This window comes from Homo sapiens, chromosome 6, assembly GCF_000001405.40.
Source record: "Homo sapiens chromosome 6, GRCh38.p14 Primary Assembly".
In the NCBI taxonomy this organism is placed as follows: domain Eukaryota; kingdom Metazoa; phylum Chordata; class Mammalia; order Primates; family Hominidae; genus Homo; species Homo sapiens.
In genome coordinates this window covers 63,453,065-63,473,212 of record NC_000006.12, presented here as the reverse complement: position 1 = coordinate 63,473,212, position 20,148 = coordinate 63,453,065, and the positions used below count along the sequence as shown (strand labels likewise).

The window sequence follows — 20,148 nt, the reverse complement described above, 5'->3', positions numbered from 1 at the left end:
GTGTGAGCCACTGCGCCTGGCCTACTAAAAGATTTTTTAATGAAGCTATCTCCTGGGATCTGCCCTGAATTGAGTCCAGGACAGTATGTCAAACCACTTCTTTTCCTTGAGCTCAGTTAATTGGTGGACTTCTGCCCAGGCTGAACTGGGAGATCTTATTTTTCACCCCATCCTAATTTGCAGAAATTGCCAAAACTTTTAAAATGTGGCCTTGAATTGGGCAAAAAAAAATTTATTTATTTTATTTATTTTTATTTTTATTTTATTTTTTTGAGACAGAGTCTCGCTCTGTTGCCCAGGCTGGAGTGCAGTGGCATGATCTCGGCTCACTGCAAGCTCCGCCTCCTGGGTTCATGCCATTCTCCTGCCTCAGCCTCCCAAGTAGCTGGGACTACAGGTGTCTGCCACCACGCCCGGCTAATTTTTTTGTATTTTTAGTAGAGACAGGGTTTCACTGCGTTAGCCAGGATGGTTTCGATCTCCTGTCCTCATGATCTGCCCATCTCAGCCTCCCAAAGTGCTGGGATTACAGGCTTGAGCCACCGCGCCCGGCCCGAATTGGGCATAATTTTTAAGGAGGGGGCTGTCTTTCTGCCTTCAGTGTTTGGTGGAATAAGAGGATTGTCCCAAAACAGTGGTTGTAGATATCTATGTAGTATTGCACTAGCATCAGAAAGCCCAGCTATTCCAGAGATTGACTCTCTCTGGGGAGCTCATAGAGATAGTAGATTCCGTTCATACATGAGAGTGGCTTTTGAGTGCTTTTCCTAGGCACTCAATGTTGAAGCACTTCAAGAATCACTAAAATCCAGTCCACTTTGTCTTGAAGAACCTCAGAATCTTCATTTATTTATTTATCTTGCTATTTCTCCACCTTTAAAGGAATTTCGGAATCTTGATAACATTTCTTTACCCACTTCTACCCCCATTTCTAATTTTGAATAAACTTTCAACCAAGACAGGACCAGTCCCGATTCAACCAAATGTAGGCTGAAGGGCCAGAGTTTGGGATGGGGATGCTTTGGGCAGGGAAATAAAATACGCCTTCTCATTAGACACAAGAATCAGCAAGTGTGTGCACTATCAAAAAGCACAAAGGAATTTAAAGATACAAATTACAAGGAGGCAAATCAGAAAGATTGCTAAATCTGTAGCTGCAGAGGCAAGAAATAAAGTTAGGGTGAGGATTAGAGAGAAAAAAAGAAAATAATCCTGGATAAAACAGAAGTGAGATTTCTGGTGAGGGCTCTCTTCCTGCTTGTAGACAGCCACCTTCTTGCTGGATCCTCACATGGTAGAGAGAGAATGTGATTTCGATCTCTTTTTGTCTTATTGTAACGGCACTAATCCCATCCTGAGGGTCCCCACCCTCATGACCTCATCTCACCTTAATTACCCCCCAGATGCCCAACTCCAAATACCATTGCACTGGGGGTTAGGGCTTCAACATATGAATTTTGGGAGGCCATAATTCAATCTATAGCAGGTAGTAAAATGAATGTAAATCTTCATTCCATTATATTGGTCTACTGATTTTTTTTTTTTTTTGACAGAGTCTTATTCTTGTCACCCAGGCTGGAGTGCAGTGGCGGTGATCTCAGCTCACTGCAACCTCCACCTCCCCAGTTCAATCGATTCTCCTGCCTAGCGTCCCAAGTAGCTGGGATTACAGGCACCTGCCACCATACCTGGCTAATTTTTGTATTTTTAGTAGACACAGGGTTTCACCATGTTGGCCAGGCTGCTCTCGAACTGCTGACCTCAAGTGATCCACCCATCTCGGCCTCCCAAAATGCTGGGATTACAGGCATGAGCCACTGCTCCTGGCCTGGTTTACTGATATTTAGCCAACTATTGTGTAATCTTCAACAGTTCCTAAGTAGAGATCTCTTCCCAATATTATACATTGCCACCTGATTGAAAAGGCTGAATCTGGGCCAGGCATGGTGGCTCATGCCTGTAATCTCAGCACTTTGGGAGGCTGAGGCATGTGGATCACCTGAGGTCAGGAATTTGAGACCAGCTTGACTAACATGGCAAAACCCTGTCTCTACTAAAAACAAACAAACAAAAAAAAACAACCAAAAAAAAAAAATTAGCCGAGTATGGTGGCGCATGCCTGTAATCCCATGTAATCCCAGCTACTTGGGAGGCTGAGGTAGGAGAATCACTTGAACCTGGGAGGCGGAAGTTGCAGTGAGCTGAGATTGTGCCATTGCACTGCAGCCTGGGCAACAAGAGCAAAACTCTGTCTCAAAAAAAAAAAAAAAAAAAAAAAAGAAAGACTGAATCTGAGCTGCATTTAAGATTTTGGTATTCAGAGTCAATAACTTCAGATGAGTACCCTTCTCAGAGAATTTTCTCTTCACTGTACTTACACTTATTTCTGTCTTGAAGTGCTACCAGTTACAAGATCCCTTAGGAATGTTCTTTGGTGTTCTTCTTGTGCCCCTACTAAGGATGACCTCAAAGAAGACATAGACTTTATTATATGTCCATCTCTGGCGGCTCCCCAACCAAGAACAAACAAGCCCCATTTCAATTTTTAAGGTGTATTCCTTATCAGAGCAAGGAAATGGGTGCGGATAAAAATGCCCTAGTAAACCATGAAGAGTCACATGCCTCTAGAATCATTACACATTAATTTTTTCAGGTTAAAATAAAAAATATATATATTTATGTATCTCCCAGAGCATATAAATAAGTCATATTTTCTTTTCTTTCTTTTTTTTTTTTGAATTGAGACAGTCTTGCTCTGTCAACCAGGCTGGAGTGCAGTGGTGCGATCTCTGCTCACTGCAACCTCCGCCGCCTGGGTTCAAGCTATTCTCCTGCTTCAGCCTCCTGAGTAGCTGAGACTACAGGTGCACATAACCATGCCAAGCTAATTTTTGTATATTTTTTTTTAGTAGAGACGGGGTTTTGCCACGTTAGTCAGGTTGGTCTTGAACTCCTGACCTCAGGTGATCTGCCCACCTTGGCCTTCCAAAATGCTGGGATTACAGGTGTGAGCTACTGTACCCGACCATAAGTCTGAGTGCGTGCCTGCCTGCCTGCCTTCCTTCCTTCCTTCCTTTCTCTCTTTTTCTCTGTCTCCTCCCTCTCTCCCTCCCTCTGTCTCTCTTTCCTTTCTTTCACCACAAATGCTTTATTAGATGAAATTACAAATACTAATTATAAATTAAAACAATAAATGTGGCCAGGCGCAGTGGCTCACGCCTGTAATCCCAGCACTTTGGGAGGCGAAGGTAGGTGGATCACCTGAGGTTGGGAGTTCAAGACCAGCCTGACCAACATGGAGAAACCCCGTCTCTACTAAAAATACAAAATTAGCCGGGTGTGGTGGCGCATGCCTGTAATCTCAGCTCCTCAGGAGGCTGAGGCAGGAGAATCGCTTGTACCTGGGAAGTGGAGGTCAAAATTGTGCCATTGTACTCCAGCCTGGGCAATAAGATTGAAACTCCGTTTCAAAAACAAAAACAAAACAAAACAATAAATGCAACTTAAATTTTTTTTTCAGTATTGTTTTATGCTTGGAAATCAAATATAAGGAAATACTGTGTAATCAGAGCCCTAAGTTAACTTTTACATTTTCCAGTATGATAAATTCCAACAAAAGCAATAATTCTGTTTGATCTTACAAAAATTTTTATCACTATAATTAAGTCATATTTTCAATAGGCAATCTTCTTAAAATATCTTTTAACTCCCCACCCCACCATGTCTTGAATATTGGTGGTCCTGGTCCACTGACATTTTTCTAGGCCTTTGATCTTTACTTTAATTTTTAATGGTGATGCTTACAGCATTGCCTTCCAATATCTGACTTGGCTTTTAGAAAGGATTATGCAGAACATTTCCTGCCTGATTACTCCTCAGCATCAAAGCATAAAGAAGCAATCAAAATAGAAAAACAGCAGCCTTTATTTCTTACAGAGAACATTTGCACTTCTGAAGATAGTAGATTGAAGCATACCAAGTTTCTGGCTCCTGGGCTCAGCTCAGGAACATTCCTTCTGGACCCATATGTACATGTAATAAATTCATTAAAAGTACTATTGGGGCAAAGCAAACATCCTATAATAGCAGTGACTTAACGAGGGTAAATATAACATGTATAAAATATGGTCCTACTTCAGGATATTTTTTAGAATTAAAAAATAAAGGAAGGGTGCAGTGGCTCACCCTAGTAATCCCAGCACTTTGGAAGGCTGAGGTGGGTGGATCACTTGAGGTCAGGATTCGAGACTAGCCTGTCCAACATGGTGAAACCCCATCTCTACTAAAAATACAAAAATTAGCCAGGCATTGTGAAGCAAGCCTGTAATCCCAGCTACTTGGGAGGCTGAGGCAGGAGAATTGCTTGAACCCAGGAGACAGAGGTTGCTGTGAGCCGAGACCGTGCCATTGCACCCTAGCCTGGACAATAGAGCGAGACTCCATCTCAAAAAAACCCCCAAAAACTAACTAACTAACTAAAAACATGGCCGGGTGCAGTGACTCATGCCTGTAATCCTAGCACTTTGGGAGGCTGAGGCGGGCAGATCACCTGAGGTCAGAAGTTCGAGACCAGCCTGACCAACGTAATGAAACCCTGTCTCTACTAAAAATACAAAAATTAGGCAGGTGTGGTGGCACGCACCTGTAATCCCAGCTACTTGGGAGGCTGAGGCAACAGAATCGCTTGTACCCAGGAGGCAGAGGCTGCAGTGAACTGAGAGCTCGCCACTGCATTCCAGCCTGGGCAACAGAGCAAGATTCTGTCTCAAAATAAATACATAAATAGGCTGGGCGCAGTGGCTCATGCCTGTAATCCCAGCACTATGAGAAGCCAAGGCGGGTGTATCACTTGAGGTCAGGAGTTCGAGACCAGCCTGGCCAACATGGTGAAACCCTGTCTCTACTAAAAATACAAAAATTAGCTGGGTGTGGTGGTGGGGGCCTGTAATCCAGCTACTCAGGAGGCTGAGGCAGGAGAATCATTTGAACCAAGGAGGGAGGTTGCAGTAAGCCAAGATTGCACCATTCCACTCCAGCCTGGGTGACAAGAGTGAAACTCTGTCTCAAATAAATAAACAAAAATTAAAAAATAAGTAAATAACAGTATCACTGATTGTTACAGACTGAATTTTGTCTTCTCAAAAAAGTCATGTATTGAATTCTTAACTTCCAATGTGAATATATTTGGAGATAATTAAGAGATAATTAAAGAGATAATTAAGACCGGGCCCGGTGCCTCACGTCTGTAATTTCAGCACTTAGTGAGGCTGAGGCGGGTGGATCATTTGAGGTCAGGAGTTTGAAACCAGGTTGGCCAACATGGTGAGACGCCATTTCTACTAAAAATACAAAAATTAGCTGGGCATGGTGATGCGTTCCTGTAATCCCAGCTACTCAGGGGTCTGAGGCAGGAGGATCACTTGAACCCGGGAGGCTGAGGTTGCAGTGAGCCGAGATCACGCCACCGCACTGCAGCCTGGGCAACAGAGTGAGACTCCGTCTCAAAAACAAACAAACAAAAAGATTAAATGAGACCACAGGGTTAGAGTCCTAATCCAATAGGACTGGTATCCTGCTGTCCTTATAAGAAGAGGAAGAGACACCAGGCTTGTTCACACAGAGAAACGTCCATGTGCAGTCACAGGGAGAAGGTGCCCCATTGGTAAGCCAAGGAGACAGGCCTTAGGAGAAACCAAACCTGGTGACACCTTGATCTTGAAATTCTGGCCCCTAGAACTGTGAGAAAATACATCTGTTTTTTTAAGCCACCCAGACTGTGGTATTTTGTTATTGCAGCACTAGCAAATACACTGATTGTGTTTTATTTTTGCTCTGAGTTCTAGGAAACTCAGAGGCAAACGTGAAGTTTATAGTAACCATGTTGATCTTATAGTTACCATATTTTTAGTCTTCTGTGACTCAGATTTTTTTTTTGTATTTCACTTTTATTAACTTACTTTCTTTTTTATTGTTTACTGCCTCAAAGTCTTTGTAGGGAAGAAACAGATTACAAAGAAATAAAGAACAATTCAAATGAATTCCTGATACGTACAAATTCTTATCTTTTATAGGCACATCTTCTCAGTCTCCTTTTTGCTGATCTCTTTCATTTCCTGGACCCTTTAATGGTGGAGTGCTGCAGGGCTCAGTCCTCCGACCTGAATTTTTTTCTATGTCAACTTACTCCTCAGTGAGACTCAGCCAGTCTCATGGCTTTAAACACTGGTTTTATATATGCTGATTTATATATTATTTTATTCATCATTTTCTTAAGTTCTTAAGTTTTGTATGTATATATGAAACCCAAACCTTTCCCCTGAACTCCTCATACCAATATCCAACTGTCAATTCAATATCCTCATTGGATGTCTAATAGACATCTCATACTTTACATGTCTGAACTCCAAATTCTTCTCTCCTATTCTACTCTTCCCATAGTCTTGGTAAATGCCATCTTGGTCTTTTCCAGCTTGGTAGATACTAACTCTATCCTTCCAGTTGCTTGGGTCCAAAACTTTGGAGTCATACTTGACTTTACTTTCTCTTATCTCCAATTTCCACTCTGTCAACAGGCCCTGCTGGCTCTTCCAACAAAATATACTTAAAAATTGACAATTTTTAACATTTTCCTTACCACAAAGGTGGAAGCCACTATCATCACAACTCTTGGATTATTGCTGACTAAATGGTTTTTCTGGTGCTGTGTTTCTCCCCTGCAGCCTATTCTCCACAGTAGCCAGAGCATCCATTAAAATGTAAGTCATTCAGATCACTTTTCTGTTCAAAATCCCCAGGCATGGTGGCATACACCTGTAGTCCTAGCTACTTGGGAGGCTGAGGCAGGAGGATGACTTGAGCCCAGGTGTTGGAAGTTACAGTGAGTTACGATTGCACCACTGCATTCCAGCTTGAGTGACAAAGTGAGACCCTGTCTCTACAAATAAAAGTAAAAATAAAAATAAAAACTCTCTAGGGGTTTCCCCATCTCTCTCAGATGATTAAGAGGCAGTCTTGGCTGGGCATGGTGGCTAATGCCTGTAATTCCAGTGCTTTGGGAGGCCAAGGCAGAAGGATCTCTTGAGGCCAGGAGTTCAAGACTAGCCTGGGCAATCTAGCAAGGGAGGCAGAGGTGGGAGAATTGCTTAAGCCCAGGAATTTGAGTTGGCAGTAAACTATGATGGTGCTACGGCACTCCAGCCTGGGCAACAAAGTGAGACATTGTCACAGACAAACAAACAAGGCAATCCCGATAATGATTCATAGGCACAATATGATCTAGCTTGTGACCCAAATCATTTCTCATTTTTCACTTGTTTCCAGCCACACTGGCCAGAGTGCTTGCTGCTTGCTGTTTCTTCTGGGTGGAACAGAATCTCTTCTTCTCCAGAATATCCACAAATTCACTCTCTCCTTTGAGTCTCTTTTTCAGTTTACTAATCAATATAACTTTATGAAAGAGGTTTATCCTGTGGTGTGCTGGTGAAAGTTTAATAATGGGTTCTCTGAAAAAAAATATGCTAGTATATACATTGTAACACAAACTTAAATTTAATCTCCATTGTTGGCATTTTATTCATCAGTTCCTTAAGTTCAAATTGACCATCAGTAAACAATAAACTAAGGCCGGATTTTTGTATTCACTGAATTTCCTAGTAGAAAATACTCTCACCATGGCCACCTTCAAGCTACTAAAATGATGTCACTGAAGGTGGAGTTGGAAATAGATGTGCAGGCTGAGCATGGTGGCTCATGCCTGTAATCCCAGCATTTTGGGAGGCCAGGGTGGGCGTATCACTTGAGGTCAGGAGTTCGAGACCAGCCTGGTCAACATGGCGAAACTCCATCTCTACTAAAAATACAAAGATTTAGCTGGGTGTGGTGGTGGGTGCCTGTAATCCCAGCTACCGAGGAGGCTGAGACAGGAGAATCACTTGAACCCGGGAGGTGGAGGTTGCAGCGAGCCGAGATGGAGCCATTGCACTCTGGCTTGGGCAACAAGAGCGAAACTCCATCTCAAAACAAACAAAGAGCAACAACAACGAAAAGGAAATAGACGCGCAGTAGTAGCACACCATTATATAGTATTTCCACCATACAGATAGATAGGACTTGAATAACCACAAGAGCATGGGGTGGGTAATAGTAAAAGGTAGTAAAATAATTAGGAAGTTTTTTTTTTTTTTTTTGAGACAGAATCTCGCTCTTGTCACCCAGGCTATAGTGCAATGGTGTGATCTCAGCTCACTGCAACCTCCGCATCCCAGGTTCAAGCGATTCTCCTGCCTCAGTTTCTCGAGTAGCTGGGATTAGAGGCACCCACCACCATGCCTAGCTACTTTTTTGTTGTTTCAATAGATAGGGTTTCACTGTTTTGGCCAGGCTGGTCTCAAACTCCTGACCTCATGTGATCCACCTGCCTCGGCCTCCCAAAGTGCTGGGATTACAGGCATGAGCCACCGCGTTTGGCCAGGGAGTTTTAAATATTTGTATGTTTCTTTTAATAAAATTTAAAGTTTATGTAATTTAAATTTTAGTGATGATCGTGTGCATACCATTGGACACTTCTCTGATCATCCTATATAAATTAAATGTCCTCTTTTAATTTCTCTTCATTACTTCTAACCTGACATATTTTTCTCCATTAATATTTAATACATTATATACATATATATATATATATTTTTTCCATACTAGATTTTAAGCTAAGTGAGGCTAGGTACTTTATTTATTTGGTTTGTCTCTGTACTGTCAATGCTTAGAACATGACTTGCACATTATTTATTGAAGGAATGAATGAGTTGATTAATATTATATTCAAAATAGATATTAGCCTGTAATAGAGAAAGCAAACAACTGAGAATCAGAAAAATACTCCATGCAATTGCTGCATGCAACAGTTACATGCAATAGGTCATCTAATTCTCACAACTTCCCTAAGAGGGAGGGATTGTTATTACCATTTTATAGATGAGGAAACTGGGCACAGTCCTGCCCAATGACAGATGATAAAGAACACAGCCAAGATTCATAGTCTCACATTTTTTCTTTAAACTTATTTTTTTTTTTAATTAGGGAAAGTTTCAAAAATGGACTAAAGTAGAAAGAATAGAAAAATGGAACACAAATATCCATAATCCAGCTTCAGTAATGATCGGTTCATTGTCAATTTTTTTTCATTTATGCTCCCTTCCCTAACTAGATTATTTTGAAGGAAATTCAAATTACCATTTATCTGTAAAAGATAAGATAAGGGCACACTCTTATTGGAAATTCGGTACTGTCCATTTTTGGCTTAGTGTTTGTTGGTCCCTTACTAATAGTTCTGAGACAAAGTTTTCTCGTCTGCAAAATTGATACATCAGGTTTGTTCAAGTATTAAATTAGATGATATATTCAAAACACTTTGTTATACTACAAAGCACTATTAAATTTCAGGTTTTCAACACATATGTCATTAACTAAATTGTGCTATTTACACAATTAAAGACTCTACATCAAAGCCTAGTTTGGTTGAGTACCTACAAGCATGACCTGTTTTTTCCCAGCAACATGGTTTCCCAAATAATATCATGCCTCATAAATATGCCAGAGTTCTTACAGAGAATCAGCAGTCACACATAACGTACAAGGCCTTGCAAGACCATAAAGTATTAAAAGCAAATAAATAAAGTATTACTTTTATATTGTAGTAAAGAGGAACTTGAACATCATATGTATTTATAACAATCTATAGGAATTTGCTTCTCAAATACGAATATTTTAGCATTCCTAGATATATGTAGCAATGTACAAGAGTGGCAGATGAGACAAAATGAGGTGACAAGATTTCTGTGGCACACCTTACTGGAGCCTCAGTTGTATTCTGCCATAAATATAAAACATTCTTTTAAATAATAATAATGAATAAAGATAATAATATCAGCATATACTTAGATAGTTCTTTATACATGTCAGGTACTATCCTAGATGCTTAACATATATTCACTCATTTAATCCTCACAACAACTCTATGAGGTAGGCACAATTTTTATGTCCCTCTGAAAGATGGGAAAACAGAGATACAGAGAGGTTAAGATATTTGCCAACGTTACACAACTAGCAGTGGAGGATCCATAATTTAAACTCAAGTGTCTAGCTTCAGTCTGTGTTTCTACCACTCATGCTGTCTCTCCTATCAGAAGAGAAAGAAATCATTACAGTAATGTTTTCCAAATATCTAGCTATTCAAGTTTTCCCTTTATAATTCTTATTTGTGAAAAAATATCCATGAAATCAATAGTTTGGTCAACTGGTCATATTTTCTCCTAAGACACACCTGAACATAAATCCATATTTATTAAAACAAGAAATGTATTTATCTGCATTCTGTTCCGGTTTATCCTATCTACCATGATCTTGGACACATTGGATTATGTAGACGAAGCAAGATTGAGATAAATAATTAAGGTATCAAATTTGAACTTATGGCAAGTACGCTGTAGAGGTAGGCCTTGTGACACTCTGGAAACACTCCTTGGTTGTTAGAGGCATGTGAGTGAAAAGTTTGAAGTAAACTTCTTAGGTAATAAGGCTTAGAGAACAAAAACCAAAATCTAGGAATATATTTGTTTTGTGCAGTGGTGCGATCTCAGCTCACTGCAACCTCTGTCTCAGTTTCAAGTGATTCTCCTGCCTCAGCCTCCCAAGTAGCTGGGACTACAGGCATGCATCACCATGTCCAACTGATTTTTTTTTGTATTTTTAGTAGAGATAGGGTTTCATCATGTTGCCCAGGCTGGTCTCGAACTCCTGACTTCAGGTGATCCACCTGCCTTGGCCTCCCAAAGTGCTGGGATTACAGGTGTGAGCCACCACATCCAGCCATATGTTTGTAAACAGTGAGTACTAGTCATGGGTTTTCCTAGTAGTTCTTATTATTTCCTGACACTAGGTATCAGATACCCGAATCAGATACAATCCTTGTTCTCAAGTATTTCACAGTCCACTGGGAAAGACAGGCCTGTAATATTCTAAAGCAGTGTGATATGTGGGTTGAGAGAAGTTTTTATAAGATGATAAGTTTATAGAGTAAGAGAGTTCAGGCTTTGCCTCGGAGAATCAGAGAACACTTATTTATGACTTTTGGAAAAGACCTGGAAGAGAAAGAATTCTGAAGCTTGCAGAAGAAACGAAGGAAAAGTCCTAGTAGTACCAGATTCTTTCCCACCCTAGAAAATAATTATTAGCCAATTGCATACAGGAGAAAAAAAATGAAGCTCAGGGGACTATACTAGTATATGCAGAATCTATGTTCATACTTAGATGATAAGAATTAGAGTTGGAGCCAGAACTGTGTTTATACTAGAATTCAAAAAGGTCTGGGCATGTCTTTTAGAGCAAGCTTCTGGTTTCCTGACATTGATGCAGTATAATATGATGTTTAGGAAGCAACACATTTGGAATACAAATTAATAGAAAGTAGAGAAGCTATAATTCAGGGCCGTGGGGTATGAAGACCAGATTGATTTGGGATCTGTCCTTTGCCAACTGTCCAATGTAGAGTAGTTAATGTAATTTCTTGATGCCTTTGTTTTTCCATCTGTAAAACTGCAGCATATCTCTTCTGGAGGTGGTCATCAGAATTAAACTAGATCATGTAAATGTAGAACACATTCTGGAAACAAGAAAGTTCACAGGAAATAACTTGTCATGTGGGAAGAAAAAGTTCACAATGTTGATGTGCAAGGGCTTGGTTTGAAGACAGTCAGCCAGTATTTGAGGGAGAAATTATCCTTTAGCTCAGGCTCCTTGGATTCAGGACTAAATCTCAGGATGAGGGAGTACAAATGGAGAACAAGAGAAAACCAAAAGAGCACAGACAAGGCTGGGCATGATGGCTTATGCCTGTAATCCCAGCACCGTGGAAGGCTGAGGTGGGTGGATCACTTGAGATCAGGATTTTGAGACCAGCATGGCCAACACGGTGAAACCCCCATCTCTACTAGTAATACAAAAATTAGCCCAGTATGGTGGTGCATGCTTGTAATCGCAGCTACTCGGGAGGCTTGAGCCCGGGAGGCAGAGGTTGCAGTGAGCTGAGATTGCACCACTGTACTCCAGCCCGGGCGACAGAGTAAGACTCCGTCTTGGGGGAAAAAACCCAAAAAACCCAGCAGCAGAGACATTTACGATACAAGATGGCATGGCAGTGGCCCCAGTAGCTACAGAAGATAGAAGCCCTCCTGAGGGACGCTTGGCCCCCTCATGCCAGACATTCAGTGTAGACTTTGATGCCTGTGGTACTATACACATTTTGATATGTGGGAGACTTCCTCAGTAGATGTTGTCTATTGGCTACTGTTTTGGGTGTCAAGGGCAACAGGAGTCATCACCTTAGTGAACTAGAACAGAAGAGAACAGCCAAAAGTATATTCAGAAGAACACACTCCTAATTTTTGGGAGGTTCAGTTTTCCACCGGGCATGCTGGGACAGAAAAGGAAAAATCCGCAAGCCTGATTGTCATTGTGATTATTATTTTTTCCCCTGGGCTGGTTTGTTCTGGGAAACATAGTTTTCACTTAAGTAATAGTAGGAGGGAAGGAACTAAGAAAATTCCTCCTAATAATAGAAATGAACAAGGAAGTGGCAAATAATATTCAGCATGGGCAAATGCAGTGGTCAGCATCCAGTTATGAATGATAGAAAGTATGATTTCAAGGTAAAAGAGTAAAGGACGTCAATTTAAATTCAAAGATAGAAATTTTCTTTTAGTTTTTCAATGTATTAATTTAGTACAAGACAAGTGAAATATTGGCTACTGTTAGGAAAGTTATTAGACTCATGAAAGAAAGCACAGTTATCTTTCACTCAGAAAACTGTGGTGTGTTTTTGGGCATCACACTCAAGGAAGACAATAAAGCTAAAAATAAGTGAATGAAGGTCAGAAGTAGAAGGGTAATAAAAGCTAGGGAATGGGGCCGGGTGTGGTGGCTCATGCCTGTAATCCCAGGACTTTGGGAGGCTGAGGCAGGTGAATCACGAGGTCAGGAGTTCGAGACCAGGCTGGCCAGCATGTTGAAACTCCGTCTCTACTAAAAATACAAAAAAAAAAAAAAAAAAAAAAAAAAAAAAAGGGAATGAAATCTTCCATTTAAGGCAGATTTGAAAGACTAGGATTTTGATGTGGAAAAGGCCCAGAAGGAGATATGAGCAAAGTTTGTTGCACAATGAAGGGTGTGGACATGGAGCACGTGAAGTTGGTCATCAAATTCCTAGGAAACTTTAGCATTATTAGGTGATCAGAAAAGGTTCTTTTTAAAATTTATTTTTATTTTTTGAGATGGAGTTTTGCTCTTGTCACCCAGGCTGGAGTGTAATGGCATGATGCACCTCCTGGGTTCAAGCGATTCTCCTTCCTCAGCCTCCTGAGTAGCTGGAATTACAGGAACCCACAACCACGCCTGGCTAATTTTTGTATTTTTAGTAGAGACAGGGTTTCATCATGTTGGTCAGGCTGTTCTCGAACTCCTGACCTCCAGTGATCTGCCTGCCTAGGCCTCCAGTAAAGCTTAAAAAAGATTACTACTGAATAAGTGAAAGGAAGTTCTACTTCAAAACATGGGCAATATACATATAGACTTCATCCTGAAAGAATGAATAGATTTGTTGGGGGCGGCGGGGGTGGGTATGGTGGCTCACACCTTTAATTCTAGCATTTTGGGAGGCGGAGGTTGGAGGATTGCTTGAGGGCAGGAGTTCAAGACCAACTTAGTCAACATAGTGAGATCCTATAATGAATAGATTGAAAATTTAAACAGAAAATTTAAAATTCAAAAAAGTACAATAATTAATTTATAATATACTTCAGTAGACATGTAAGCTTGTGGCGTATTTTCCAAAGCTTTTTGTATTAATGCATGGAAAACCATTAATATGGTCTCTCCTAGTTCATAGACAGAATTGGAGTATTCAGTTAAACGGCATAAAAAAAATCTTTTGAGAGAACCAAAATGGTTTGACATTTTACCTTCAAACCCTGATTTCTGACTTCCATTTTAGGCCAGCTTTAAGGAACAATGCCTATAATTAATGGAAACATTGTTGACATTTTGAATTATAATTGTTAATAATACAACAATAGACTTGGTCTTTCAGGTAAAATCTTATGTAAAGGAAAACACTCTAAAGCAAGTCATAAGCATCTTAGTCTGAGAGCAACTTGCTGAATAATTCTCGACATGGTATTTTCATCTATGAATAAACAAAGGGTTTCACATAGCATTATTACAAACTTTACATAATGGTAACAAAAAACTGAGCCTAATTTGTCTCTTCCAGTAAAAGTATTTGAGAAATTTTCCATTGCCCAATACCTTCCCATGATGGAAAATACACTGCATGGAAGGTATGTGTAAATATTTGATTCGTGTTTTACTGATTTCAGTGTCACAACCTAGCAATCATTAACACTTCGAAAAACATACACCTGGTTAGTTGTTTCCAAAGTACATTCTCTCTCTGAAGGCTTTTCAGACTCCTAGAATTAGAGAGGTCCCTAGCGAGAACCCAGTCTAATCTTTTAATGTCATAGGCAATGAAACCAAGACCGAGAATGTTTGGGTAACTTTCACACAGTCCTCCAACCTTAGCTGGGTCCTAGGACCGAGATCTTCAGGCTTTCAACTCAGTTCTTTTTTTAACATAAGTGCAGAATTACTGTTTACCCTTTGTTCTGAAGGAAGGTATATATAAACACGGTAACAATGTCATAGTTGTAGAAACTGAAGTGAAAAAAATCTAGAAAATTATAGGCACAGCATTTGTTTCCAACGCTAATATATATGGTCACTTTATAAAATGAAAGGCTAGCCGGGCCCGATGGCTTATGCCTGCAATTCCAGCACTTTGGGAGGCCGAGGTGGGTGGATCACCTGAGGTCGGGAATTCGAGACCAGCCTGACTAACATGGAGAGACCCCGTCTATACTAAAAATACAAAATTAGCCGGGCGTGGGGGCACATGCCTGTAATCCCAGCTACTCGGGAGGCTGAGGCAGGAGAATCGCTTGAACCCCAGAGGTGGAGGCTGCAGTGAGCTGAGATAGTGCCATTGCACTCCAGCCTGGGTAACAAGAGGGAAACTCTGTCTAAAAATAAATAAATAAATAAATAAAAATAAAAATAAATGAAATTATAATCACTGGAGAAAGAATTGTGAAAATAATAGCTTGACCTTGTGCTACTATGACATTAAATAAAGGTTTCCAACCTAGTGCCTTGTAGATGGTAAATATGTGAAAGTATTAGTTAAATCTGATTTGAATTTATTTTAATTAATTAATTAATTTATTTATTTGAAATGGAGTCTCACTTTGTAGCCCAGGCTCGAGTGCAGTGGTGCAATCTCAGCTCACTGCAACCTGTGCCTCTTGGCTTCAAGTGATTCTCCTGCCTCAGCCTCCTGAGTAACTGGGATTACAGGCACCCACTACCATGTCTGGCTAATTTTTTGTATTTTTAGGAGAGACGGGCTTTCACCACATTGGCCACGCTGGTCTTGGACTCCTGACTTCAAGTAATCTGCCTGCCTCGGCCTCCCAAAGTTCTGGAATTACAGGCGTAAGCCACCATGCCCGGCCTGATTTGAATTTAAAAACCTAAATTCCAGATAGAAAAATACCTGGATTATTGGATTGCCAGACTATATTTTAATTTAATTTATTATTTTTTGAGACAGGGTCTGGTTTTGTTGCCCAGGCTGGAGTGCAGTGGTGCAATCTTGGCTCACTGCAGCCTCCACCTCCTGGGTTAAAGTGATTCTTGTGCCTCAGCCTCCCGAGTAGCTGGGACTACAGGCATGTGCCACCACGACTGGCTAAATTTTGTATTTTTATTAGAGATGGGGTTTCACCATGTTGGCCAGGCTGGTCTCGAACTCCTGACCTCAAGTGATCCACCCGCCTCGGACTCCCAAAGTGGTGGATTACGGGTGTGAGCCACCACGCCCGGTCCAAACTATATTTTTAGAAAGTAGAAATATATCTACAAGATGACAAAATAACAGTATGAAAGAAAATCAGTCAAACCAATATTTGGTGTAGTGTGGACTAAGCAACCACTTGTTAGGCATTTAAAATATCAATGGTCTCTAAATGATGAGGGTGAGAATGAGGGGAATGCTCCAGGTGAGCAGCATTCCTTAATGAGGTCAAGCATTTTGACTTTTGAATAAGGTTGTTTTCTCCATATTAAGGTGGAGAAGCAGTACAATGAAATGGGTAGAGGTTCAGGAACTCTGAACTGTTTTGTTGGAAACTTTTGCTCAGGGTAAAGCCTACAGAATTCCTTGAGTAACTCATTCAGAGAAGCCTGCAACAATGTGCTTGGAGCCTGATCTAGTGGCAAAGAATTTCTTCCCTTCTCTGCTTTCTTCCCTTCTCTGCTTTGATGAAGGGGGTGCTATAAAATGGCTCCTAAGCCTCTTGTTCTTTGGCCAGTGCCAGAATTTTCAGTCTGTTAGGAACAGAGGCTACGTCTGGTGACAGACCCATAGCCCAAGCTCTAAGGAGCTGCTGCAGAATGAGGAGGCTCTATTGAGTATGAGGGGCAGTGTGGTATATTCCAGGGAGCACAACTTACAGGTTTACTCTCTTCTGTGACATGAACTAATAACTGTCAACCTGAACAAAAAAACTGAGGCAAACAAGAAGATCGTTTGTGTGGTGGCTCATGGCTGTAATCCCAGTACTTTGGGAGGCTGAGGGGCGCTTGAGTCTAGGAGTTTGAGACCAGTCTGGGCAACATAGGCAGACCCTCGTCTCTACCAAAAAAAAAAAAAAAGTATATATATATATATATATATATATATATATATATATATATGTATATTTCTGCCAAGTTTGAGGTCTGCAACCTGGGAGTATAGACTCAAGGTGCCCTGAAGATATGCTCCAATTAGCAGAAGTTACAAGTGAGTTTTAATTTTTTAACTTTTACTTTTTTTTTTAGATGGAGTCTCCCACTGTCCCCAGGGCTGGAGTACAGTGGCGTGATCTTGGCTCACTGCAACCTTTACCTCCCGGATTCAAGGGATTCTCCTGCCTCAGCCTCCCAGGTAGCTGGGATTACAGGTGCCCACCATCAGACCTGGCTAATTTTTTTGTATTTTTAGTAGAGACGGGGTTTCACTATGTTGGCCAGGCTGGTCCCGAACTCCTGATCTTGTGATCCACCCACCTTAGCCTCCCAAAGTGCTGGGATTACAGGCGTGAGCCACTGCACCTGGCTCTTGTTTTTAATAATCAAAAGTTAATTTTTTTTCTTTTTGAGACAGGGTCTCGCTGTGTTGCCCAGTGTGGTCTTGAACTCCTGGGCTCTAGTGATCCTCCTGCCTCAGCCTCCCAAAGTGCTGGGATGATAATCCTGAGCCACTGTGCCTCTGGGCCACAGATGAGTTTTTATTTATTTTTATTTTTATTTTGAGACGGAGTTTCACTCTTGTTGCCCAGGCTGGAGTGCAATGATGCGATCTCAGCTCACTACAACCTCTGCCTCCCGGGTTCTAGTGATTCTCCTGACTCAGCCTCCCAAGTAGCTGGGATTACAGGCACATGCCACTGTGCCCACCTAATTTTGTATTTATAGTAGAGACGGGGTTTCATCATGTTGGTCAGGCTGGTCTTGAACTCCTGACCCCAGGTGATCCATCCGCCTCGGCCTCCCAAAGTGCTAGGATTACAGGAGTGAGCCACCTCGCCCCACTCACAAATGAGTTTTTAAATGAAAAAAGAAGAGGGGATTTCTAAGTTGTTTTACGAGAATTTATATTAAAATAGCTTAAGCTATTGATTGGCTATGCATTGTTCTTTGTATCACAAATGCCAGGTACCTGAAGATAATGGGTGAGGCAGTTTGGTCAGAAACAAAATCCCTTTCAGAAATTGCCCTTGGGCATGGGTGCTGGTGTGGGAGGATAGGGAGAGTGAAGTCCCATATTCCTGTCTTTCTGAACTGGATAAAGTTTGCATGTCTCACATAGCTCAGAATGCGCTGAGCTATTTGTTTTTTCCTTGTAACTGAGATCCAGTTGGTTCTATTGGTGGGATGTTGTGGCTAACTTCCTTATAGAAAATGTAAAAACTTGGCCAGGCGTGGTGGCTCACGCCTGTAATCCCAGCACTTTGGGAGGCCAAGGTGGCTGGATCACCTGAGGTCACAAGTTCAAGACCAGCCTGGCCAACGTGGTGAAACCCTGTCTCTACCAAAAATACAAAAATTAGCCGGGCGTGGTGGCAGGTGCCTGTAATCCCAGCTACTTGGGAGGCTGAGGCAGGAGAAACACTTGAACTCAGGACGTGGAGGTTGCAGCGAGCAGAGATTGCCATTACACTCCAGCCTGGGTGACAGACAAAGACTCCGTCTCAAAAAAAAAAAAAAAAAAAGAAAAAGAAAAAAAGAAAACGTAGGGCCAGGCGCGGTGGCTCACGCCTGTAATCCCAGCACTTCGGGAGGCTGAGGCAGATGGATCACGAGGTCAAGAGTTCAAGAACAGCTTGGCCAAAATGGTGAAACCCCATCTCTACTGAAAATACAAAAATTAGCCGGGGATGGTGGCGGGCGCCTGTAATCTCAGCTACTTGGGAAGCTGAGGCAGAGAACTGCTTGAACCCGGGAGGCGGAGGTTGCAGTGAGCTGAGATCACGCCACTGCACTCCAGCCCTTGTGACAGAACAGGACTCTGTCTCAAAAAAAAAAAAAAAAAAAAGAAAATGTAAAAACTTCTAGTATAGAGCTGGCCTCAAGCCTCTTATCTGTTAACGACTAAATTACTAGTTTACTTAAGCTGAAATTAGTCAACTGGGAATCAAAAAAGAACTGGGGTTTAATATTGATGTCCATAGAAATGTGGTAAGAATTTATTTTTTCTCCAGTACCTATCCAAGGAAATTAAAAGTGTTTCAATCTGTATTTAAACTTCCCTCATGCAAAATGCTAATAGCCTTACTGTGGTCCCATAACGGTGACAGGAAAAAACACACATTATTTTGAGTATTTAATTTACATTAGATGGTAAATGAATAAAAAAGACACTAAAAATATTAAAATCTGAACATATTTGAGAAGTAGCATCAGGAGAACACTAAAAGCTCTGGAAACAGGCTGAATGGAGAGGCAGCAAGGGGCAGTATTGAATGCTCTGTATCAGTTTTCCTACATGTAAATTGGGGATAATAACTGTACCTAGTTTATTGAATTGTTTTGAGGATTAATTATAATGACGGCCGGGCGCGGTGGCTCACGCCTGTAATCCTAGCACTTTGGGAGGCCGAGGCAGGTGGATCACGAGGTCAGGAGACCGAGACCATCTTGGCTGACACAGTGAAACCCTGTCTCTACTAAACAAAATACAAAAAATTAGCCGGGCGTGGTGGCGGGCGCCTGTAGTTCCAGCTACTTGGGAGGCTGAGGCAGGAGAATGGTGTGAACCCGGGAGGCGGAGCTTGCAGTGAGCCGAGATCCCGCCACTGCACTCCAGCCTGGGCAACAGAGCGAGACTCTGTCTCAAAAAAAGAAAAAATTATAATGACAGATGTTTGTTCAAAGTAAAAGAACAGAAAACAATATACCATGCAAACAAAAAAAAAAGCAGGGTGGTTCTATTAAAATCAGAGTTGACATTATGATAAAAAATATTACCAGGGGTAATGAAGAACATTACATTACAATAAAGGGATCAGTTGAAGAAGACCTGGCAATCCTAAGTGTATATGCACTAAAAACAGAGCTCCTAAATACCTGAAGTAAAACACTTAGAGAACTGAAAGGAGAAATATATAAATCTACAATTGTAGTTGTATATATCAACTCTTTTTTTTAGTAACTAATAGAACACATAGAGAGAAAATTAGAAAGGACATAGAAGACAACCAACATGATCTGTTTATTTATAGAAAACTCCATGTAACAGCAGCAGAGTACATATTCTTTTCAAGTGCAAATGTAACATTCACCAAGATAGACCATATTCCAGGCCATACAAATCTCATTAAACTTAACTGAATTGAGATAAAATAATACAATGTATGTTCTCTGGCCAAAAGAAAATAGAAATAGAAATTAATTACAGAAAGATATATTAAAAATCTCCAAATATTAAAAAACTAAACACTA

The 20,148-nt window shown here is 41.0% G+C and overlaps 1 protein-coding gene across 1 annotated transcript in view, besides 3 other annotated features; it reads left to right on the top strand.

Moving 5' to 3' along the window:
- The window catches only part of LGSN (lengsin, lens protein with glutamine synthetase domain), a 297,657-nt gene that overhangs the window by 100,395 nt on the left and 177,114 nt on the right, over positions 1-20,148 (top strand). The window lies entirely within an intron of this gene.
- Positions 14,192-14,691: an enhancer, noted in NCBI's record as "500 bp enhancer 15 fragment used in low-throughput reporter constructs". NCBI's record gives its function as "activates both an SV40 promoter and a TATA-containing promoter in HepG2 cells {active_cell/tissue: HepG2}" and the evidence as "EXISTENCE:reporter gene assay evidence [ECO:0000049][PMID:23512712]".
- Positions 14,369-14,513: an enhancer, noted in NCBI's record as "145 bp enhancer 15 fragment used in the MPRA reporter construct; PK_construct_45". NCBI's record gives its function as "activates an SV40 promoter by MPRA in HepG2 cells {active_cell/tissue: HepG2}" and the evidence as "EXISTENCE:reporter gene assay evidence [ECO:0000049][PMID:23512712]".
- Positions 14,435-14,448: a transcriptional cis regulatory region, noted in NCBI's record as "HNF1 motif; enhancer activity is lost when this motif is scrambled". NCBI's record gives its function as "necessary for full MPRA enhancer 15 activity {active_cell/tissue: HepG2}" and the evidence as "EXISTENCE:site-directed mutagenesis evidence [ECO:0005528][PMID:23512712]".